The 25,778-nt window shown below is 40.4% G+C and overlaps 1 protein-coding gene across 1 annotated transcript in view; it reads left to right on the top strand.

Annotated features, from left to right (window-relative positions):
* The window catches only part of SMARCC1 (SWI/SNF related BAF chromatin remodeling complex subunit C1), a 196,625-nt gene that overhangs the window by 140,062 nt on the left and 30,785 nt on the right, over nt 1-25,778 (top strand). Inside the window, exons 22-25 of the mRNA NM_003074.4 lie at nt 3,052-3,107; nt 5,696-5,810; nt 6,488-6,642; nt 19,491-19,625. Of these exons, the coding sequence (NP_003065.3) occupies nt 3,052-3,107; nt 5,696-5,810; nt 6,488-6,642; nt 19,491-19,625 (461 nt within the window). The remainder of the gene's footprint in view (nt 1-3,051; nt 3,108-5,695; nt 5,811-6,487; nt 6,643-19,490; nt 19,626-25,778) is intronic.

Genomic DNA, 25,778 nt, shown 5'->3' with positions numbered 1-25,778 from the left:
CACTGCACTTCAACCTGCATTACAGAGACCATTTCTCTTAAAAATGTACATAAAAGTAATTTTTAAAAAGTGATGTTTATCATTTTTATCCTAAATGCTTTTTGTGTCTTGTTTAAGATAACATTCAAGTTTTATTTTTTCACGTGTCTTTATCTAGATTTTTTTTGTTAGCATATCAAAATGTAGCAGTTGGTTTTATATGGTAGTTTTATAGCTCACTACCTTCCTAAACCCTATCATTATTTCTAATAAATTTTCTGCAGATCTTTGTATGTAGACAGTTTTAGTCTGTGCACATTTTAACTATTTTCTTTTCAGCTTTCCTTTTATTCCTTCTTTTTTCCTTTGAAACAGGGTATCACTCTGTCATCCAGGCTGGAGTGCAGTGGCAAGGTCTCAGCTCACTTCAGTCTTGACCTCCCAGGCTCAGGCGATCCTGCTCCCTCAGCCTCCTGAGTAGTTGAGACCAGGTGCTCATCACCATGCCTGGCTCGTTTTTGTATAGTTTGTGGACACGGGGTTTCACAGTGTTGCCCAGGCTGGTCTCAAACTCCTTGACTCAAGTGATTCACCCATCTTGGCCTCCCAAAGTGCTGGGATTACAGGCATGAGCCACCACGGCCAGCCTAATTTCTTTTTCTTAATTGACTGTGTTGGCTTTGGCCTGTATGACAATATTGAAGGGAAATAGTAATATTTGTATTCTTGTCTTGCTCTTAATTTTATATAGAGAATACTGTTGGCATCTTTCAGCAAAGAATGTTATTTGTTGTAGGATTTTTGAGAACAGCCTTCTGGAGATCAGGAACCTTCCATGTAGCCTTGATTTTCCAGGAGCTTATAATGGACAGTACTGAGTTTTGTCAGATACTTTTCAATGCATTTAATTAAATAGGTTTGTAGAGTACTAATATTAAGTCATCCTTGATATTACTCTGTCTAGTATAGATTTTCTTGTTAAACATATTGCTCTATTCTTTTTTTTTAGTATAATTTGCTTAGTTTTTCGTTTGTGATTACAAATGAGATTTAGCCTAGTGTCGTCTAATATTTCTTATCCGTTGTCCCTGTTTGATTTGTGAATCAAAGTTATACTGGTATCATAGACTGAGGTAGGGGAATTCCCTCTTTTTCTATTCTCTAGGAAATATTATGTAAGATTGTAATAATCTTTTCCCTAAGAGTTTGGTAGAATTCCCCAGTGTAAAACATCTGGACCTGTGTATTTTTAAGTTTTATAGTTGTTTCAGTTTTTCTGACTAATGTAAAGACAATTCAGGACTTCTTTTTCTTCTGGAATCAGTTTGATAAAAATAAATTTTTAGTAATTTTCCCATTTGATCTAATTTTTAAATTTTACTTGGAATAAAGTTTTTCAGAATATATTATCACTTCCTTTTTGACCTTGTTCTGTCATGAGCTTTCTTTCATCCATTCCTCATATAGTTTGTTTATGTCATCTCTCTCTTTTCTTCATCAGTTATATTTATCATTTTTATTCATCATTTGAAAGAACCAACGTTTGGGAATATTAATTCTCTTGTATATTTTTCTAAATCTCTAGTGTATTTTTTTTCTATTTTCTTTTTTTCCATCCCTACTTTCTATATTGTTTTCTTTTTTCACTATCTCATAAAGGACATGGAGCTCATATACTTTGAGCCTTTATTTCTTTTCTGATTTAAGCCTAAGGCTTTACGTTCTCTGTAATTACTACTTTTACTTCCCACAATTAAGTTTCCATGCATAGAGAAGTTTATTTTTATATTTTAAACATCTAATTTCATTGCATTGTGGTTGGAGAAATTGATCTGTATGGTAGTGGTTATTTGAAATTTGTTGAGGACTCACTTTGTGACCTAATTTGTGATCACTATTTTTAAAATGTTGTGTGAGCTTGAAATTAATGTGTATTATCACCTAATTGATGGATGTAGAATTCAGCATGTGTACATTTGTACCATCTTTCTGTGTTCATATCTGCTCTATATCTTATTGAGAGGTGTATTCAAATCCTTTATGATGATGTTTGTCTTTGTTTCTTCCCTGCCACTCTCAGTTTTTGCTTATACGGTTGGTTGGTTGGTTGGTTGGTTGGTTGGTTGGTTGGTTGGTTTTGAGATGTAGTCTCACTCTGTCTCCCAGGCCGGAGTGCAGTGGTGCAATCTCGGCTCACTGCAACCTCCGCCTCCTTGGTTCAAGTGATTCTCCTGCCTCAGACTCCTGAGTAACTAGGGCTATAGGTGCACACCACCGCACCTGGCTAATTTTTTTGTATTTTTAGTAGAAACAGGGTTTCACCAAGTTGGCCAGGCTGGTCTCGAACTCCTGACCTTGTGATGCAGCCGCCTCGGCCTCCCAAAGTGCTGGGATTACAGGCATGAGCGGCCATGCCTGGCTGCTTACACAGTTTGACATTAGTTTATTAGGTTCCTAAAAGTGTAGAAAATTAATAATTTTCTCATATTTGAAATAATAATTTTCTCATGTAATTTATTGATATGTGCTTCTGTTATACTGTGCTGGTTTGTGTCCTGTCTAGCCAAAATGATATCCTCTTGAGATTTCAGTGAATATCTGGGTCATAGTGTTTCCCCAGTACCTGAGTCAAAATACATACTTGTCAGGCATCTGTTAAATAATAATGAATTATTTTTATTTTGCCTTTATATTTTAATACATACAGAAAATCGAAAATCCTAAGCAGACAGCCTAGTTCATTTCTACAAATTCCAGACCTAGAAACAGAGCGTTACCAGCACCCTAGGACCTCCCCTTTCCCAATTGAATCTGCTTTCTGTATAATTCACCCCTTCCCCCTGTTAACCACTGTTCTGAGTGCTGACACCATAGATTACTTTTCACCTGTTTTTGAACTTTATCATACAGTGTGTGTTGTTTTGTGCCTGACTTCTTTTTTCAACTGTATGGCTATGATATTCGTTATGTATTACTGTATATATTTGTATTTCAGACACTCTCACAGCTGTATAATAATAGCTTTTACCTTTTTCCACATTGGAGTACTTGTTCTTATTCTTTTACTTGTAGAAGGAGCTGAAGAGGAAAAAATGGAAGCCGACCCTGATGGTCAGCAGCCTGAAAAGGTAAAGTCTCACAGCAGTAAAACCACAGATAGCATGCCTTTCAGACCATAATGGTTTGTTTTTTGGGTGTTTTTGAGTCCCTCTTAGGGGACTCTAAATAATTCTATCAGCTACTTGGACTTTGCTGGTTTAAGGTATAGTTCTCACAGGATATAATATAGGACATTTTTCATTTGTTCACTGGGGAGGTGTATTCACTCCCTATCCTCTTCTTTTATATTTTAAACATCTAATTTCATTGCATTAGAAGAAGAAGGAATATGAATTTCCCACAAAAGAAGAGGGAATATGAATACACAAGTTGGGACTATGAATACAAAAGTTATGGTTCTTGGCTGGGCGCGGTGGCTCACGCCGTAATTCCAGCACTTTGGGAGGCTGTGGTGGGCGGATTACAAGGCCAAGAGATCGAGACCGTCCTGGCTAACATGGTGAAACCCCATCTCTACTAAAAATACAAAAAAATTAGCCAGGCGTGGTGGTGGGTGCCTGTAGTCCCAGCTACTCAGGAGGCTGAGGCAGGAGAATGGCGTGAACCCGGGAGAGACAGAGCTTGCAGTGAGCCGAGATCGCGCCACTGCACTCCATCCTGGGCGACAGAGCGAGACTCTGTCTCAACAACAACAACAAAAGTTGTGGTTCTTGTGAATATCGAATTTTAAGGTTTGAGTCCTATTCTTGTGCCAGGAGAGAATGACAGAATAGTAAGTGATTTCCTATGAGGGCTAACTGCCTGCAGAAGAATCTTAAGAAAAGAATGAGAAGATGACATATGAGGTAGGTTTTAAAGAGTAGGTAGAACTATAAAGATTGAAATAGAGGTTAGAAAATCAAAGATTCCCACTAGTTGGAGAGGAGAGACACTAAAGCCAGTGTGTGAAGAGCTTCAAAGTAGCCAGTGTGTTAGTGGCTCAATCTCTCTTCTGTAGGAGACTGTAAATGCATGATGGGTGAGGCAGAACAGGAGGTTACAAAGGTCAGGATGTGGGCCTTTGTATTCCTTTTTTTTTTTTGAGACAGAGTCTCACTCTGTCGCACAGGCTGGAATGCAGCAACGCAATCTTGGCTCACTGCAACCTCCGTTTTCTGAGTTCAAGCAATTCTCCTGCCTCAGCCTCCCAAGTAGCTGGGATTACAGCCACGCGCCACCACATCCAGCTAATTTTTGTATTTTTAGTAGAGACGTGGTTTCACTATGTTGGCCAGGCTGGTCTGGAACTCCTGACCTCAGGTGATCCACCCACCTTGGCTTCCCAAAGTGTTGGGATTACAGGTATGAGCCACCACGCCCAGCCTCTGGGCCTTTGTGTTCCTAATACTGTTACTGCACATAGGGATCAGTCAGTCACTATTTGAGTGAATATATATAAGCCAAGATTGAAGGTCTTGATTATATGTGGTATTCTAAAATTGTATATAGTTAAGGGGAGGGTGAGGGTAATAATGAAATTGATTATAGTTCCTGCATTATTCTAAAGACGATATTTGTACTTCACATTTTTAATTTCATTTAATTCCTAAAAGAGTCTCAGCTGGGTGTGGTGTGTCATACTTGTAGTCCCAGCTACTTGGAAGGTTGTAGGATCACTTGGGAGGCTGGAGGATCACTTGATACTAGGACTTTGAAACCACCCTAGGCAACATAGGGGGACCCTGCCTCTAAGCAAACAATATAGCCTCATGAAGTCAGTGATAGTCAGTTGCGGTTTTTTCAGTTTCTAAAGCATGATCACTGATGTTCTCTCATGGTTCTTCCTGAAATTATTAGCAGATGGCTGTATTAAAAGACTTTGTCAACTTTTCCAGCAGCATTTCAACTTGCTTCTTTGTTGATGGTGTGACATTTAAATGCTCTTAATTCTTTAAATCAATCAGTAATTATTAAGTACACACACACACACACACACACACACACACACACACACACACACACACATATATATATTTTGTTGTGGTTGTTGTTGTTTTTGAGATGGAGTCTCACTCTTGCTGCCTAGGCTAGAGTGCAATGGTGTGATCTTGGGTCACTGCAATCTCTGCCTCCCGGGTGTTCAAGGGATTCTCCTGCCTCAGTCTCCTGAGTACCTGGGATTATAGGTTCCCATCACCATGCCCGGCTAATTTCTTTTTTGTATTTTTAGTAGAGACAGGATTTCACTGTGTTGGCCAGCTGATCTCAAACTGCTGACTTCAGGTGATCTGCCTGCCTCAGCCTCCCAGACTGCTGGGATTACAGGCGTGAGCTACTGCACCCGGCCCGGCCTGTTTTTAATCAACAAAAATATCAGTTAATTCCCTTCACATTCCTCTGGGCATGGTAACCCTTGCTTTATAGCAGAGTATGCAGAGAGGGCAGCGACTCTGTGCTTTGGAGGAACATCTTGTGAGCACTCAAGTGTTGAAGTGGTAGAAAGTATTGCTTGGAATGTATTAGTTCTTTTCGAGCTGTTCTCTACAAGTCACTTTTGAATCTAGTCTATTTCTTGCCAAAAATATTGGAACCTTTTGCTAGTCTAAGATAATTACTCATAAAAAGGTCTGGGGTTTTTTTGTTCACTGCCTGTCCTCTTGTTTTATATCCCTTTCAGGCAGAAAATAAAGTGGAAAATGAAACGGATGAAGGTGATAAAGCACAAGATGGAGAAAATGAAAAAAATAGTGAAAAGGAACAGGATAGTGAAGTGAGTGAGGATACCAAATCAGGTAATTTGAGGAAACTCCTTAGATATTATTATGTAAAACTGTAAAAGGCACTGGAGAAATGAAGGTGGTTTATATAGAAATATTTCCTCATTTATTTTGGGTTTGTTTCTTAATGTAACAATAAGTATGTAATTGAGTTTCATTCAGATAGGTGCTAATACTAATGCTGGTGGCTACACTTTTTTCTGTGCTTTTAATATGTAGAAGAAAAAGTTATTCAACAGTATTGAAGTCACCTCACAGACTTCCCATTTCATTTTCTGTGTCAGTTGCTGATACACCCCATCATGCCTGTCAGGCTTAGAGAAGTAGTCTGTTCTCAGCTTCTGATTTCCTACAGACACTAGAGTTCCTAGAGCATTTCATTGATTGATGAGCAAGTACGTTGGCCTTAGACTTAGTTCCCCTGTATGTTCCTTTAAATATATATATCCAAGGGACCTCCACATAGAACTTAGCAAAATGATAGGAAAACAAGTGTGCTGTTTAGAAAATATGTCCCCAATAGAGGCAAACCTAAATGCATGGAATGGCTCAACAGAACTCTTAAAAAGAAGAAAAAGGCATTGACATCTCTTTGTCATATCAGTCCTAGTTTGTTATAGTGGTGGAGGTAAGGAGAAAGATGGGTTTTCGAGAGTGGGCACGCTAGTAACAAAGCTTTCTGATATTTTCAGAAGAAAAGGAGACTGAAGAGAACAAAGAACTCACTGATACATGTAAAGAAAGAGAAAGTGATACTGGGAAGAAGAAAGTAGAACATGAAATTTCCGAAGGAAATGTTGCCACAGCCGCAGCAGCTGCTCTTGCCTCAGCGGCTACCAAAGCCAAGGTTTGCCCCTGACAGCCCTTTTCCAGTGCTCTCTTAAGGCATGAATGGTCGTATTGTTTTTAGTTAATTGGGAACATTTAGTATAAAGAGCTTTGCTCCCAATAGGAGATGACTGCTTGAATGGCATTTCTAGGTTAAGAAATCCACAGGCAGGAGGAGGGTTATAGAAATAGTAGATCCAGTCTAAAGGGTGACTTTTTTCATTCCATTCATTATACCATTTAGCCTTGTAAAGACTGCAGAGATTGAAGGCAAATTTTAAAGTCTCTTTAAGGAACTGATTATCATTTTGTTTTTAATTTGCCTGCAGAACTTATCTTGGACTATTGTTCCAATAATTTCTACCAGATTGAAATATTTATGATTTTTAAGACAAAAACCTGTTTCCTTGCCTAAATACTTCACCCTGATCTTACAGACTGAAAGGAGAGAGAGACCCTAAAATAGCTCTTTTTCTTCTTGAATTTGCCAGCTTTTCTGGGGGTGGTTTTTTCTATTTATAGTATTAGCTGCAGAGCATATTTAAGAAGACATGAGAATGTTACTTTCCTCTCTGTGTTAATTTAGCATTTTAAGTAATTCTAAACATGAATATGTAAGTTTTTAAAAATCTTTTCCCCTGTTCTTCATTCTACTTCAGAAGTAGTTTCCTTCCATTATAGGATACCACATTTCAAGAAACAGTGATTACTAGAACATTGCTAATCATTTTATTTTGAACTGTTTTTGATCTTTTAATAAAGATGCTTTTTCATGATCTTTAATTCCCCAGATCATTCAGCTACTGTGAACTACTTCTCTAAGTGTTTAATCTGATATGATGAACCAATTCAAACTACAAGATTACTGTTTTGAATGCCCACCCATCTGACATAGATAGAGACAATGGAGGTTAGGGAGGTGTTTACAGGCCGCAGCAAATGCTCAGTCAACCCAGAGAGTTACTCCGGCTGATCATTGTTATTATACTAACTCGAAATCCTACAAATTTATACTACCTGCCCTTTTCCTAATAACTAAAACTAGGTAATACTTCCTAATAACTAAAATTAGCTAAAGAATCAGAAAGATATCTCCTGTCTGATTCTTTAGCTAATTTTAGTTATTCTATCTCCCCTACATCCCCCTCTGGGAAGTTTTGAGGTACATGCTTGCTTAAGTGACGGCTAATATAACTTGACTCTTTTTCACCATTTGTCCGGTTTTGCTCTTTCATTGCAAACATCTTTTTTAGTCTGTCTTCTGCTACCCTGGAGTGTTTGTGCATCTCTTTGTCTCTGAGCTGCTCAAGTTCTTACTGTAATACTGTCATTAGGTGTTTTAGAGATCTGAAGGATTATCGTGGTCATAGTCTCTCACATTTTATATATATGTGTGTGTGTGTGTGTGTGTGTGTGTGTGTGTGTGTGTATATATATATATATATTTTTTTTTTTTTTTTTTTTTTTGAGACAGTCTCACTCTGTCCCCCAGGCTGTAGTGCAGTGGTGTGATCTTGGCTCACTGCAACCTCCGCCTCCTGGGTTCCAGCGATTCTCCTGTCTCAGCCTCCCAAGTAGCTGGGATTAGAGGCGTCCATCACTATACCCGGCTAACTTTTGTATTTTTAGTAGAGACAGGGTTTTGCCATATTGATCAGGCTGGTCTTGAACTCCTGACCTCAGGTGATTCACCTGCCTCAGCCTCCCAAAGTGCTGATATTACAGGCATGAGACACCATGCCCGGCCTCTCGCATTATAAATGAGGAGCTAGAGGTGGAGAGGGCTTTCTCCTTTGTGCCCTTCCTCAGTCTTCAAACCTGCAACCTCGGCTCATTTTTGACTCCTGGTTCCATCATTTTCCATAGCTATTCAGCCAGGAAATTCTTCATGGTGCTTTAGATCACCTGCTAATGTTCAACTGCTCACTCAGGTCAGCATCCCTTAATCTTTTGCCTGTCTCCTCAGTCCCATTCTCTAACCCGCAGCCAATGTAATCTTCTTGCTTTTTAACTTGTTCTTAAGTATAACTCACATTCAAATAAATGGACATACTGAAGCCTACACCTTTGTGAATTTTTGACAAACTGGGCCCACCTATGTCACAAGCATCCGTTTCAATAAACAACATTACCAGCCCCTCCAGAAGCTTCCTCTTATTCCAGTTACTTTGCCTTCCCTGGAGAGTAATCACTAGTCTGTCTCATTACACCGTAGATTAGTTTCTCCTTTTTTTTTTTTTTAACTTCATATAAATGGAATCCTACATTATGTGCAGAAATCTTTAAAAATGCAAATAGGAACATGTTACTTTCTTCAGTAACCTCCCTATCTCTCTCTGGCTGCAATTTCAAACTCTTTAGTAGAGAATTTAGGATTTTTCTATAATCAGGACCCTACTTAGTTCTCAACCCTTATTTCTTACCTGTCCTTCCTGAACTGTTTCTTGTAGTTCTGCCAAACAGAATTGATTCTTTTATCTCTATCTAAGCTTTTTCGGACATTCTTTTCTTACAGAGCATGGTTTTTTCTTCCTATTATTTCTCCTCTTTAAATTTTTTTGTAGAGACTGGGTTTTGCCATGTTACCCAGGCTGGTCTGGAGCTCTTGGGCTCAAGAGATTTGCCCACCTTGACCTCTCAATGTGTCAGGATTACAGGTGTGAGCCACCTCACCTGGCCAGTTTCTCCTCTTGATACCACTGTGCTATGCTTCAGTGTATATTGCCATAGGAAGAACTAAAATGGTAGATTACCTTTTAAAAGTTTCATGAGGCTGGGTGCAGTGGCTCACACCTGTAATTGCAGCACTTTAGGAGGCCAAGGCAGGAGGATCACATTTGCTCAGGAGTTCAGGACCAGCCTGGGCAGCATAGTGAGACTCTGTCTCTACAAAAAAAAAATTTTTTTTTTAAGTTTCACAAATCCTTCATGATGTTTTCCTCTGGCCTCATAGCTGTTACTGTGTGCAACTTTGGGCACAAAGATTTGCCTGGTATACACTACTGATTATCTTAAAATAGCTTGACTCCTTCACTGCAGAGAAACTACTTTTATGGATCATTTGGCCTGCCCCTTCACTATTCCATACAAAATTTAAAAGGTGTCCAAAGAAGAATTTCTCTCCAGGTCATTGAACTTTCACTCCCTCGTCATCAGTCACTCTTCCTTCTATTTACTAGGAGCTCGTATCTTCATTCTCAAAACACCTAGGTTTCCCTCTGAGTTATGAAAGTGTACAAATGCTCATGCTGCACGACTTGGCACATGTGAACCCTTCAGTGCCACTTACAGCTGGGATCTGATAAATTTGATAGCACACATGATCATTTTCATACTACATGGTAATTAGGGGGGTAAGGAATTCACTTAAATTACTATAATTAATATATAACTTATGTAGCCAGTCCAAGTTTCTCTTATTCTCATTTTCTTCTGTGTCTATAAACAGCTTTGTTATTAAAAGTTTTCCTTAAGAATCTTTTGTCATACTGACGTGGAGTGATAATTAGAGGTTCTAGGTCTATCTCCTAAACAGATGAGGTGGCATGCTTTATGGCTTCTGTTATTGTCCCCTGAAAGGTTTTTCAAGAGCATGTCCATTTTTTCATTGCACCTGCTGACAAGCTGTGAATTGTCTCAACTAAAGGAGTGGTGTGTGGGTGTAAGCAGAAGTACCATTGTTTGGGTGCTCTGGATCCTTTCTATCTGGGTCTTTAGGCTTAGAGGAGAAGGAAGGCCCAGAACTATTGCCAGGATAAACTATAAATCCCCCATATTAGAGCATGTTCTCTTTTTGTCAGCAGTAGTAGGTTCAGTTCTTCCAAGAAAGCAGAGATCACATTTTCTTAAAACCACAGATATTTCCTTTGAATTTATTCTACAAACCACCTCATATATACGTTTTCCAAAATGGCAAAAGTAGGTTTGTATTCGTGGCAACATGGTAATTGGGTATTAGCTCTGGGACAACGGGAAGACTCTTACCCCCTAGAAATGTCTCATAACTTGATGCATTGTTTCTGCAATTTCTCATTCTTTTCCTTCTCTCTCTCCTTCTCTCTTTCTCTTTCATTCATTCTTGCTTTTTTCTCTTTCTCTCTCCTTCTCTCTCTTTTTCTTTCTCTCACTCTCTTGCTTGCTTGCTTTGTCAGGGTCTTGCTCTGTTGCCCAGGCTAGAATGCAGTGATGTGATCACAGCTCACTGTAGCCTCCATGTCCTGGGCTCAAATGAGATCCTTTCACCTCAGCCTCTCAAGTAGCTGGTTCCACAGACATGTGTCACCACACTCAGCTAATTTTAAAATTTTTTGTAGAGACGGGGTCTCCCTATATTGCCCAGGCTGGTCTCAAACTCCTGGTGCCAAGGAATCTGCCCACCTCAGTCTCCCAATGTCCTGGGATTACCGGTGTCAGCCACTGCTTCCAGCATGAAACTCTTTCTGGAGGTGTGAAAAATGTCATTGTATACTTTAGTCACAAGGTATTAACGGACAGGGGTTGATTGAAATTGATTTACACTAAGCAAGTTGATCGTTGTTACCATACCTTAATAATCCTCTCAATGTGTCAGGAAAAAATAGCCCATTTGATTATTTTGCCTACAGTTAGTCCTGTTCAGTTTCATTTTTGTATGACTACATAGAAACTACTTCTGTTCTACTCGTTGGAATTCATGCTTTGTAATGCAAAATTGGCCTCAACCCTATGCCAGCTGGATTATTGCTTCTTGTTAATCATTTATCTCCAGTTGTTTCTCCTATGTTCCATATATCAGGGGTCCCCAACCCCACTGGCCTGTTAGGAGCTAGGCCACACAACAGTAGGTGAGTGACAGGGCAAGTGATAGCAAGCATTACTGCCTGAGTTTTGCCTCCTTTCAGATCAGTGGTGGAATTAGATTCTCATAGGAGTGCAAACCCTTTTGTGAACTGTGCATGCGAGGGATCTAGGTTGTGTGCTTCATTTGAGAATCTAATGTCTGATGATCTGAAGTGTAACAGTTTCATCCTGAAACCACCCCCCACCCCCCACCCCCACCCTGCCCCAGGCCCCGTGGAAAAAATTGTCTTTCATCCTCTTCCGTGAAACTGGTGCCTGCTGCCAAAAAGGCTGGGGACTGCTGCCGTATATCTTCTGTGGCACCATCCCAGACCTCATCATTCTTCTCAGGCTCTATAAAGCCAATATGTGAAAGGTTGGGCCTCTCCCTGTAGCTTCTGCTTGGAACACCCTGGTCACCACTGTTGCCAGACCTTTCAAGAATCTGTAATCTGAGCATCAGCAATATTCCTGTTACAGTTATTTATTGCTATGTAACGATGTAACTACCCTTGAAGTTAGTCGTTTAAAACCTCAGTCATTTTATTATCTGTCATGATATTGCAGTGAGGAACTTGGGCAGGTTTAGCTGGTAAAATGTGCTCCATGTCGCATTGACTAGAGTCACTCAGTACTACCTCATCGCTGGGCTATTATAGAGGGCCAGAGACAACTTCATTTATATGCCTATGCCTCGGCTGAGATGGCTACCATCATTCTCTATACATCCTTTCTAAGAAGCTGGTATAAGGTAGTCTCAGGAGTAGTTGGACTTTTTACAAAGCTTAGAACTTTGAGAGAAGAATGTCACAAGTAGCAAGGAGGAGGATCTGCCAGTGTCTTATGACTTGGAACCCCAAACTGACACAGCATAATTTCTGCCCTACTCTACTGGTCAAATGTTCTGTCCAAATTCAAGGTAAGGGGACACAGAGCACAGCTCAAGGTAGAAGATGTGCCACCTTAACCCTCCACAGTCTACTCTCTTGTCATAAATTGTATACCTTTCCCCCACTGAAAAATAGATCTCTCATGGCTTTATCTCATTATGATATCAAGCTGAGGTTGGAGGTCTCGGATCTTATGTAAATCAGGTCCACATACAGATGAGGCTCTTTAGGAGTGGTTCCTATTTACAACTTCTTGAATGCTGATACTATAATTTGAAGATTTTCTGGACTAGTATAGTAGGGGTGAGACACATCAAGGTTAACTGCACTCTGTTCAAGGAGGGTTTGAATTGGAGACACAGAGCAGTCATCGTTGATGGCAAATTTGAAATCTAGCCAGGCACACATTTCCAGTTCCTTCATCAGGGCCCAGTCCTACTCGCAGAATTGTTCTCCACAGTTTGACTTGGCCCTCTGGGCTTTCAGTTTTTTCTTCTGAGTCTTTTTCCTTTTCCATTAAAAAATTAGCAGAGTTTTGCAGTGATTGGCTGTCTTGGCCTGCATTCTACTTGTTGTAGGCCCAGTTTATGTTCTTTCTACTTCAGTTCAAGGTGTTGTAATTTTTTGAGAACTTTGTGGGATTTCTGTGTTTAAAATGTAATCCCCACTTTGGGAGGCCGAGGTGGGCGGATCATTTGAGGGAGGTCAGGAGTTCAAGACCAGCCTGGCCAACACGGTGAAACCCCATGTCTACTAAAAATACAAAAATTAAGCCAGTCATAGTGGCACGTGCCTGTAGGCCCAGTTACTTGGGAGGCTGAGGTACGAGAATCACTTGAACCTGGGATTTCAGTGAGCTGAGATCATGCCACTGCATTCCAGCCTGGGGACAGAGTGAAACTCTGTCTCAAGAAAAAAAGTAATTCCCGTTAGACAAAAGCCACACCTATGTTTTCTTGCCTACATAGTTCCCTTTTTGCCCTAGTCTTAGTTAAGATGTTATGAGAACAAAGCCCCCAATTTTTGCCTAGTCTTAGTTAAGATGTTATGAGAACAAAGCCCTTAATTTTTGGATCCCTTTTTGTCTAGTTGGAAGGATCTTAGATTTGTAGCTTCAGTAATGATGATGCAAAGAAGCTGAGAGGTGAACTTGTAGAGGTGACACAGAAAACTAGTTTAAAACTAGGGACAGTGGTTAGAAACAAATCTTTCAGCACAGTGATATGAACTAAGCAGAAAACAAAAGCAAAGGCAGTTATTCCTGAAAGGTCATAAAGAGCTTGGTTAGGAAATTGTGGGACAAGTAAGTGTCCAAACATGGGGCTTCAGAAAGGAAAGAGTGTTGTAGGCAGAATAAAAATAAATATTGGCTGTGTGGAAACTTTCCGAATTTGATGAAAACTTTAACTTACAGACCTAAGAAGCTCAATGAAAGAAAAAATATATATATATATAGGAGACATGCTATAAAGATGTTTAGACCCAGCACAGTGGCTCACACCGTAATCCCAGCACTTTGGGAAGCTGAGGCAGGAGGATTGCTTGAGGCCAGGAGTTAGAGACCAACCTGGGCAACAGAGAGAGATCATGTCTCTACAAAAAGTTTTTAAAGTTGGCCAGGCGTGGTGGTGTAATGCCTATAATCCTATCTACTCGGGAGGCTGAGGCAGGAGGATCTCTTGAGCTGAGGAGTTTGAGGTTACCGTGAGCTGTGATCTCACTGGTGCACTTCATCCTGAATGACAGTGAGATCCTGTCTCAAAAAAACATCTAAAAGATGCTTAGAGGCCCTCATGTCTAGTAGAAAGCTCTAAGGCATATACTCAAGACTCTTAGAAGTCCTACTATAAATACCATTCAAAAAGCTTTATAGCCGCACCTCGAGCTCTTTACCCTGAGGTCATCCTTTGCTGGTAGTGCTCTGGATTGGATCTTTCTCCCAAAGCCATTTCTTAGCTTCAGACTCTTGCTGGAAGGAACCAGAGATGAGAAATAATGTTTTATTCAAATCCCACTTTTTCATATTTCCTCTAAATTCTGCCTGAAAACCTAATAGTTGCTTCTTTACTTCAATGCTCTTCTAGCTGCTCACAATAAAATAGAAAAAGAATTTTTCCATGGCCTGGAAATGCCCCAGCCATATCCACAAGTTTATTAATTACCCTTTCTATTTCCTCATGACTAGAGATGATGGTGTTTCCAAAAGTTGTGCTACTAGATAATAAAGATCTATTTCTTCAACCTTCAGTACTATTTTCCTCCCTGTACTTTATTACCTAATGATGGTTTTCTTAAAGCCCTTTCAGCTTGCACCCACTATGTGGTCCCAAAGCCAAAGAGAAACATTTTAGGTTTCTGTTACAAAAGCTCCCCATTTCCAGATACCAAATTATTTTACAATAGCAAAATTGAGTAGTTTAAAACATAACAATTTTATTAAATCTCATAATTTTGTTAAATTTTAACACCAAACAGCTGGGCAATTCTGCTACATGTATCAATTGAGTCATTTAGTAGTATTAACTTCATAGGTAGGTTTATGTAGAAGGTCTGAGACGGCTTCATTAGAATCCTAGTCCTTGACAGGGGTAACTGAGGTTTTTTTCCACTCCATGTAGTCTCAGAATTTCCCCTTGTGGTCTTTCCAGCAGGGTGATCATACTTTGTACATGGCAACTTGAGACTCCCAGAGAGAACATTCCAAGAAACAGGACATGAAAGTTTGCAGGATTGTAAGGCCTGGGCTTAGAAAAGGCTACCACTAATTTTTATTGGGCAAGGCAGAGAGCCTGTCTTGATCTGCCTCTTAATGAAATAAAGGCCAGTGAACTTGTGGCTATCTTTAATCTACCACAAGTCCCTTCTAAGAATTACCCAGGAAAGTATCCACTCAAGTATCAATTATTCCAAAGATGCATTGGAAAATAACTAATGGGCCTTTGGGTTTGGAATTTTAATTTTTAGTTCCAGCTCTGCCATTTACTCGTCTCTTTTTTCTTTTTCCTTTTTTTTTCTTTCTTTCTTTCTTTTTTTTTTTTTTTTAAAGACAGGGTCTCACCAGGCACGGTGGCTCACACCTGTAATCCCATCACTTTGGGAGGCTGAGTCAGACAGATCACATGAGATCAGGATTTAAGACCAGCCTGATCAACATGGTGAAACCCCGTCTCTACTAAAAATACAAAAATTAGCCGGGCTTGGTGGCGGGCGCCTGTAATCCCAGCTGTTCAGGAGACTGCAGCAGGAGTGTCACTTGAACCTAGAAGGCGGAGGTTACAGTGAGCCGAGATCATGCTACTGTACTCCAGCCTGGGCGACAAAGCTAGACTCTGTCTCAAAAAAAAAAAGGACGGGGCCTCGCTCTGTCACCCAGGCTGGAAATGCTGTGGCAAGATCACAGCTCACTGCAGCCTCAAACTCCCAGACTCACGTGATCCTTCCTCCTCAGCCTCCTGAGTAGCTGGGACTATAGGAATGTGCTACCATGCCTGGCTAATTTTTAAATTTTTTTGTAGAACGGGGTCTCATTATGTTGCCCTGGTCTCAAACTCCTGGCCTCAGGCGATTCTTCTGCCTCAGCCTTCCAAAACACTGGGATTACAGATGGTAGGCAACTGCGCCTGGCCTCTTTTCAGTGGACTTCTTGGTGGTACAAATGTTTTTAATTTGATGAGGTCCAACCTAATTTTCTCTTTTATCATTTGTGCTTTTTACATGTCTTGAAATCTTTGGCTTAAGCTAAGATCATTTAGATATACTTTGTTTTTTCTTCTAAGAATTTTTTAGTGTATACTTTTATATTTAGATCTATGATCCACTAAGTTAATTTTTCTGGGTGGTATGAGATAGGAGTCCAAATTCATTCTTTTGTATTTGGATATTCAGTTTTCCCAGCTCCATTTGTTGACCTACCCCAACCCACCTTTAAACTTTTATTATGGAAGTATTAGAATATATATAGAAGTAGGCTGGGCACGGTGGCTCATGCCGGTAATCCCAGCACTTGGGGAGGCCAAGACAGGCAGATCATTTGAGCTCAGGAGTTTGAGACTAGACTGGGCAACCTGGCAAAACCCTGTTTCTACCAAAAATACAAAAGTTAACTGGGTGTGGTGGTGTGTGCCTGTAGTCCCAGCTACTTGGGAGGCTGGTCTTTCTTTTTTTCCTTTCTTTTTTTAAAATTGTAAAAATAAAATAAAGAAAAATAAAGAAGGGATTTTGCCATGTTGGCCAAGCTGGTATCAAACTCCTGGCCTCAAGTGATCCACCCACCTCGGCTTCCTGAAGTGCTGGGATTACAGGCATGAGCCACAGCGCCGGCCCAGACTCTGTCTTTAAAAAAAAAAAAAAAAATTCCAACATATACAGAAGTAGACAAAGTAGTAAAATAGTCTCTGCATGCACATTATCTAGCTTTGGTTATCAATTTTTACCAGTCTTGTTTCATTTGTCTCAATTTATTTTATTTTTTGAGAAAGCATCTTGCTCTGTCGCCTAGGCTGGAGTGCTGTGGCGCAATCTTGGCTCACCACAGCCTCTGCCTCCTGAGTAGCTGGGATCACAGGCATGTGCCACCACATCCAGCTTTTTTTTTTTTTTTTTTTTTAATTTTTAGTACAGACAGGGTTTTACTATGTTGGCCAGGCTGGTTTTGAACTCCTGGCCTTCTGTAATCCACTCGCCTTCCCAAAGTGCTGGGATTATAGGCGTAGGCATGAGCTTCTGTGCCCAGCCTCAATTTATTTTTGAATCATCGCTTGCCCTATAAACTCAGAGTTTCTTTCTTAGGTTTGGTCTGTGACTTTTGAATCTAAGGTCTTTATCTTTTTCTGGTATTACATTACTTGAGCTAGAACACATACCTCAGTAGCACATGTAGGAAGTGAGCTTTTTAGTCCTTGATTTCAGGAATGTCTGTTCTCTATTCACACTGTTACAGATTGCTATATAGGAAATTCTAGTTTGAAATTCATTAGCCCTCAGAGTTGAAAGGCATTTTGCCATTGTTTTCAAACATCTCATTTTACTTTTAAGAAGTCTGATGCAGTCCAATTTTTTGGGTAACCTGTTTTTTTGGGAGGGTGCCTTTCTGAAAGCTTGTAGGATTTTCTATGTCTTGTGTTCTTAAAATTTCAGTAATGTTTCTTGCTGTGGATCTTTTTAATTTTTTTGATACCTGCTGCCTCTTTTATTTTATTTTTTATTTTTTTTGAGATGGATTCTTGTTCTGTCACTAGGCTGGAGTACAGTGGAGGGATCTCGGCTCACTGCAACCTCTGCCTCCTGGCTTTAAGCGATTCTTATGCCTCAGCCTCCCGAGTAGCTGGGATTACAGACATGCACCACCACACCCAGCTAATTTTTTAATTTTTAGTAGAGACAGGGTTTTTGCTGTGTTGGCCGGGCTGGTCTCGAACTCCTGATCTCATGTGATCTGCCCACCTAGGCCTCCCAAAAGTGCTGAGATTACAGGCGTGAGCCACCACGGCTGACCAATGACCTGCAGTTTTAAAAGGAAATATTTTGGTATTATTTTATTGAATAACACTTAAGGACCCCCTTTCCACCTACCGCTCCCCCCACCAAGTTCCTGCATAAATCTCAAAAAAAAAAAAATACCAGAAACATTTTCTTTCAAACCAGCTGAGTTCTAGGAGTCATATTCTCATAAAAATAGACCAGAAATTGATAACATTATTATCTTCAAAGGAAGAGTTACTGATGTATAGCTGACAGAAGTGAGGGGGAGACTTACTTTTTATTTTATACCTCTTTGTAACTTTTCAGTTTATATCGTGCGCATAAATTTTTTTGTTCAAAAATATAAATTGTATAACATTGTACAATGATAATGCCTTAAATTACATAATATTTATTTAAAGTTTTGGTGTCATTGATGTAGCTCATTGTAGTTTAGGGTGGCAGACATGATCATTAATAGCTATAAAACCTCATTGTCACCTCTTGTCTACATTTCTGAATCTTTTTGCAAATGGGTCTCCATATTTGTAAAACTACAGTTTTTGTTTTCAACTGTAAATGAATGAAAAATTAGGCTTTCGTCTAAGTGTTAGGTCTCAGCATAGTTCCCAAAAGCCTGTATTAAGTTGCATGGTTGCTCCTAGGTTCTCTGGGAAACCTAAGATCATTAAGAGATCAGTAAAATAGCCACTCCATGCTATTTCTTAAGACCTTGGTAAGATGCGTGCTGTGACACACACAGCTGTGGCTTGTCACAGCTACTCAGTTGGCTTAGGCAGAAGGATCACTTGAGCCCAGGAGTTGGAGGCCAGCCTGGGCAACATAGGTTTTTTTTTTTTTTTTATGAAGAACCCTGCTTCTTTAAAAAAAAAAAAAAAAAAAAAAGCCTTGTGTAGAAGCAAGATAAACACATAAATTCAGCAGACATAATAAAAGTGAATGAAAAATGGTGCTGGGAGTTTGCTGGGAAAGTTCTTGGATGACGTCTATAGAGGGTGGGATTGATTACTAGCTAGTAGTTAGGGTCTTAAGCAGATATAAGTAATGTGGCATCTTCCTGTTTGTGCTGTTGAGTTGGCAGGAAGCATTCACCATCAGTCTTGTGGCAAAGGAGTGAGTCTTCCAGAGTACCTTTCTGTTTAGTACTGTATTTATTTTTCCAGCTATGGACTTGGACCTGGAATTACAGATCAAATATTGTTTTCCCCTTTGTTTCCACACATGAGGTCTGCTCACCAAAGAGAAGGGAGAGGCTTTGTATAAGAGTGTCAGGTGCTGTCCTCAGCAGCCTGCCTGCCTGCCCACCCCTAGAAAAGTTTTAGGGAGGAAAGGATAGTGAGGGGACAGACCGAGTGCCAGGATGGGGTGGTAGGTGGCAAAGTACCTCCTGTCCTCATCTTTGGCCCATCAGGGTCCTGGTTTGCCCTCTCCTTCTTGATAGCCCTTTTGAAGGTAGTAGTTTACCACATGAGGCATTTCCTTTAATCTTTTAAGGGTTGATTTATCTCTATAAGGACCAGAAATTCAGAGACAGTTATTTTAGATTGTACGTTACAAAGGAGACATATAGGGTACCATTGTAAATTATATAATCTCTACTTTGAATATTGTCAGCATTTTCTTAATGTTCTTTAAGCAAATGTTTACCTAAATAGCTTGAATGATCTTGTACCCTTAGCACCTGGCTGCAGTGGAAGAAAGAAAGATCAAGTCCCTGGTAGCTCTCTTGGTTGAGACACAAATGAAGAAACTAGAGATCAAACTTCGACATTTTGAAGAGCTGGAAACTATCATGGACAGAGAGAAAGAAGCTGTAAGTATTTGGAATTTTTTAGTGGCTTTTTCACAATTAAACCTTGGTCACTTTTCACAAAACAAGTTAGATAAAATAAATGGTAGCCTGTTCTCTTGGTCTCCATGGCTAACTTCTGTCCTTTTTTCTGTGTTTGATTTGCCCTTTCAAAAGGATTGTTAGCCAGTGATGTTAAATAAAAGGCACTCTGTTAACTCTCTAAAGTGAATTATCTAAATCTCAGCTTCTTGTGCGTGTTGGCTGTGAAGATACATGATGATATTAAATTCTTCACTCTACAAAACTTAGATCTTAGAGTTATTTCATTACCTACTTGTTACCAATAAAGTAGAAACTGTATAACTCTATTATCTGAGTCAGGGATTTTCTTTCTTTTTTTTTTTTTTTTAAAGTTTTAATTTTTATTTTAGATTCAGAGGTACTTGTGCAGGTTTGTTACATGGATATATTGTATGATGCTTAGGTTTAAGCTTCTATTGAAGCTGTCACCCAAATAGTTAACATAGTACCAATATGTAGCTTTTCAGTCTTTCACCCTTTTCTCCTCTTCCCCTTTTGGAGTCACCAGTGTCTATTGTTTCCATGTTTATGTCTGTGTATACACAGTGTTTAGCTCCCACTTAAAACTGAGAACATGTGGCATTTTTTGCTTCCGGGTTAATTCACTTAGAATAATGGCCTCCAGCTGCATCTATGGTGGTGCAAGGGACATAATTTCATTCTTTTTTTTATTGCTGTGTAGTATTTCATAGTATATATGTACCACATTTTCTTTATCCAGTCCACTATTGATGGGCACCTAGTTTGATTTCATGTCTTCGCTATTGCGAATGGAGCTGCAATAAACATGCATGTGCAGGTGCATTTTTGGTAGAACGATTTCTTTTCTTTTTTTTTTTTTTTTTTTTGAGACGGAGTCTCGCCCTGTTGCCAGGCTGGAGTGCAGTGGCACAGTCTCAGCTCACTGCAACCTCTGCCTCCTAGGTTCAAGCGATGCCCCTGCCTCAGCCTCCCAAGTAGCTGGGACTACAGGCGCACGCCACCACGCCCAGCTAATTTTTGTGTTTTTAGTAGAGACGGGGTTTCACCATGTTGGCCAGGATGGTCCCTATCTCTTGACCTCATGATCTGCCCACCTCAGCCTCCTGAAGGGCTGGGATTACAGGCGTGAGCCACCATGCCCGGCCGAACAATTTATTTTCTTTTGGGTATATACCCAGTAATGGGATTACTGGGTTGAATATTAGTTATATTTTTGTTTCTTTGAGAAACCTCCAAACTGCTTTTCACAGGGGCTGAACTAATGTACAGTCTTATCAGCAGTTATATAAGTGTTCAGAGATTTTCTTGATTCCCTGACTTCTTCAAAATAAATACTAGAAAGGAGAACTTAATCTCATCTTGAGTTAGGAACCTAGTTTTCTGTTATCCTCCCTCAGATCCATCCTTGGGCTTTCTCACACTTCTCTTCCCTCTCCTATACTGAATGGTAGCTGGAAGTAGGCCCATCCTGAGTCTTGTACGTAGCATTCCCTGGAGCAGAAACTTTTGACATAAGGTCATGGGCCAAACGGGACCAAGAGAATTATGAAAAGGGCCAAAAGTGAGAGTGGAAGTCATAAAAAGTAAGAAATTTAGAAGCAGAGAAACATTTGGTTATCTTGGGAGAAGTTCTGGAGAAAAAGAGATTAAGTAAGCTCTTAGTGGAAAAAAAACAAAAACAAATTTTTTTTTTTTTTTCCTGAAAACGGAGTCTTACTCTGTCACCCAGGCTGGAGTGCAGTGGCATGATCTCGGCTCACCACAACCTCCACCTCCCAGGTTCAAGCCATTCTCCTGCCTCAGTCTCCCGAGTAGCTGGGATTACAGGCGTGCGCCACCACGCCCAGCTAATTTTTTGTTTTTTTGTAGAGACAGGGTTTCACTGTGTTGCCTGGGCTGGTCTCGAACTCCTGAGTTCAGGCAGTCTGCCTGCCTCAGCCTCCCAAAGTGGTAGGATTACAGGCGTGAGCCACCGCACCTGGCCAAAAATAAATTTTTGTAATGAGTTGACTAGATAAAGAATTAGTGACTCCCTAAGCATGGGCTAAATTTGAGCATTTAGTTAGGACTTTTTACCTCTGACGATTTTGACTTTTTTATCTACATGAGAGATTCTGACTCCAAATGGTAGAACTTTAAAAAGAAATTATTCCAGAATACTGATCATTTTAGGATTTACATTTGCCTAAGTATCTTCTTGCATTATTTAAAGTGTTTCTTAGTGGCCAGTCCAAGCAAGTCCTCTGTTGAACTCCTCATGATGAGTAGCCCAGTACCTGTCACCATAGCCCATATCCATTTTGTCCTAAGACCAGCTGGCCCCAAAAGTAGGAAGAGGCTGCTTCAGTAGCTCTCCTACCCCAACTCTATACCACCCCACCCTCAGTTCCCTGATTAGGAAGCAGCCTAGTCAGGGACTTACTGTGCTTCTCACTCCATGCTGTACATCTGTCATTGAGCTTATGTCTCTGTAAGCATCTCTCACACCATTGATTGTCTCCTGCCCCGGGAGCTCATGAGACCTGGGTTTCATCTCTGTCACCCTCTGTGTATGCTGGACCAAATGCAGGCTTCTTCACAGCCTTACTCTCTTTGCCACCTGTTTGCATCCTGCTTCTCTGGCCAAGAAGGCCCTTTGCCCCACTTTTTGCCTACCTCCTGCAGTCCTCAGCTGTGGGTGGCATGGCCTTCACATTTACTGCAGTGGCAGCCTCACAGAGCGCTTAATTGCACTGTAATCACCAGTTCATGGGTTCGCATTTCTGTACCAGAGTATATACTTTTTGAGGGCAGGGACTTAATCAGATGTCTTTGTTAACACAGAAGTAGCACATCACAGGCCCTTACTTAAATGAGTGCGTGCCAGCATTGTTGCCGTAGTTGGGAAAGTGGAAAGGATAATCCACCCTTTGAGACTTAGTTTAATGGGGGAAACAGTCAACAAATAACGACAATACAGTATGTTTGTATAGTACAGCAGTTGTACAGATGCTGCTATGGGAACAGAAAGGAGGAGTTCCCAGGAGATGGGGAGAGGGAGAAGTTATCAGAGAAAACGTCCTACAGGCGGAGCTTTAGGGGATGAGTCTTTGTGTTTATTTTTCCCTAATAAGCTTCCCTTTTGACATTTTACAGATTTTCTTAGAGGGCCTGGAGTAATAGGGGGCTATAATATAGTGGAGTGGATTGTTGGCATATGCGGGATTCAAATGATGGTTGGGTAGATCCCACTGGCAGTAAGACATCTTGCTGTCATTTGCAAAGCATAACTGATCCATTAGCCTTGAATATTGAGTCAACCCTGAGCGCTTACAGAATATATCTAGTTTGGCAAGGAGCTCTTTCCTCAGCACTAAATTGCTTTCTCTTCAAAGAATGAACCTGCAGGTCCCCCGGTTTTTTAAACCTTCTGATGGATCTGTTGTCTGTCCCCTAAGAATAGCAGAGTTCGCATCCCCTTTCCACTTCTGTCTACTGGCCCCCAGACACCAAGGGGCAGTGTATAACCGCTCCTCTTCTCTCAGCCCTGCAGAAGTTTCCTTGTGTGATGTCTATTTTTTAAATAACTACTTAAATTATATAACTTCACTATTTTTTCTCTTTTGACTTTTTTCTGGGAGGACAGGGCTCACTCTGTTGCCCAGGCTGGAGTGCAGTGGTGCAGTCATAGCTCACTGCAGCCACAAACTCCTGGGGCTCAAGTGATCCTCCCTCCTCAGCCTCCCCAAGCAGCTGAGACTACAGGCATGAGGCACTGTGCCCAGCTAATTTTTTTTTTTTTTTTAAATATTGACAAGATCTTGCCATGTTGCCCAGGCTGGTCTCAAACTCCTTGCCTCAAGCAGTCCTCCTACCTTCTCCTCCCAAGGGGTTTGGATTACAGGCATGAGCTGCTGTGTCCAGCTTTTTGACTTTTAAAAAATGTTACTTTCTAATCAGATCACACACAATATTTCATAAATATTTTCTGAATAAAACAACACAGCTGAAAATGTTGGGAAAATACTCTCCGGACTCCATCCCAATACACAACGCTGCTCTGCTTGAATTCTTCCATGGTGGACTGTTATTTTCTTAATCAGCATTTGGTGTCAGCTGTTTGTGGCAGGAAAATTCTTTGTATGAGACAGTCCCTACCCCTACTGAATGAATGTCAATAATCCAATTGTATTAGTTATAAATTGCCATGGTTTCTGAGTAAGTGATTTAAAAAAGTAAGAGTATGAAAAAGCACACAAAATGGGAGCTATAATGTTCTTTATAATGTAAACATACGAGTCACATCCCTTCTGCCACATCCTGTTGGTCACAGACCAACTTTGGATCTGGGTTAGGTGAATAGTTTTCAGTGGGAATGTATAAATATTAGAAAGCAGGATCGTTGGCAACCAGCTTGGAGACCTGTTCTCTTACCAACCAAAATGTGTCATTTGAACTTCAAAATGCCACCCGCTCATTTTGTGTATAATTAAGACATAACCTCTTTCTCACTCTAGCACTAGCATCCTATCCTTCCCTGTGGGAAGCAAAGCTATGAATGTTTTTCTACTGATGATTTCCACACAGAATTCTTGTGAAAATTGAGAGAAGTATGGCATATGCCTGGCACAGTGTCTAGCACATACATAGTAAGTGTTTGGTAAATATATGCCTCCCGTTATGCAAACCAGTAATCAACAAATATGTACAAAATTCTTAAGATTCATAAGCCATTGTTGGCTTTGTGAGCATTTATTGGGTCAGTTACTATGCCAAAGCACTTTAAATGGATTTACTCACTTTATTTCCTGGCAAACTATGTGAGGAAGCCATAAGCAAGAAAGTAATGTTTGCTTTGAATCCCCTTATTCAAGAATCCAGCAGTGATGTTGGATGACAGCATAAGCCACTTCTTTGTTAGCCCTTCTTACATTCCAGACTGGAGCTTGAACCTGGTAGGTTGTGTACCTCAGATCACATGGGTCAGAAATGACAGAGCCAGATCTCAAACCTGTTTGTTCAGCTCTTTGTATTTATCTAGTACTTCGTAATTTATAAAGAAATGAGCTTTTGCTATTTCATTTTAACCTAGGGACTCAGATATATATGCAGCTTCTGTCATCCTATTATGAATCAATAAAGTTGATACTCCAGATAGTGAATAGATCAGCTAGGAGTAGAGGCACCCAACTCTCCACCTCCCCCACTGCCTCAGTTCATTTTAGATTGCACTCTTGCTCATCTTAACCTAGTAAGCAGTAGCTTTAGGATAACATTTTTTTAAATAGAACGTTTGGTTTGGTTTAAATAGCAATAGGTTTCAGAAATTAAGACTCAAAATCAAATATAAAGCTTTTTTTTTCCCTCTAATGACTTAAAGCCAGATGTTCTTTTTAGTCTTAAGTAATTGTAATTAAATGTAATCATATAAAAATTTCAGGGCCAGGCATGGTGGCTCATACCTGTAATCCCAGCACTTTGGGAGGCCAAGGCGGGAGGATCACCTGAAGTCAGGGGTTTGAGACCAGCCTGGCCAACATGGTGAAACCCCGTCTCTACTAAAAATACAAAAATTAGCTGGGCGTGATGGTGGGCGCCTGTAATCCCAGCTACTTGGGAGGCTGAGGCAGGAGAACCACTTGAACCCGGTAGGCAGAGGTTGCAGCGTGCAGAGATCATGCCATTGTACTCCAGCCTGGGTGACAATAGCGAAACTCTGTCTCAAAAAAAAAAAATCGAATTTGTTATGGGTATCATGAACTCAGCTATAATTAGTAGCTATTCCAGCTCCCTCATATTTTAAAGCATTAATATTAAAGGAAAGGCAGTTATGGAAGTTACAGAGTATATCAGGGAATTGACATGAGAAAAGCATTCCAGTTCAGGGGAGGGTGTTGAGCTGCCAGTGGGTCTACCACTCATTGTGTCTGTAGACTGAGTAGCTTTTGATGCTAGGCAGAAGCACACAGCCGTCAACAGAGCAGGTTTCAGACATGGGTTGTGTTGTAGACTAAATTACCTGGAGAGAATTGAAGGGCCTGGGCCCCACATAAGCCGTTTACATTTGAATGTTTTTTTAAAAGACACTTTGAGGCCATTGAGAATGGATCTATGAGCTGATTCCATTTATAG

The sequence above is a fragment of the Homo sapiens genome, chromosome 3 (assembly GCF_000001405.40).
Source record: "Homo sapiens chromosome 3, GRCh38.p14 Primary Assembly".
Taxonomy (NCBI): domain Eukaryota; kingdom Metazoa; phylum Chordata; class Mammalia; order Primates; family Hominidae; genus Homo; species Homo sapiens.
The sequence above is the reverse complement of the archived record's forward strand: the minus strand, read 5'-3'. Positions and strand labels throughout refer to the sequence as shown.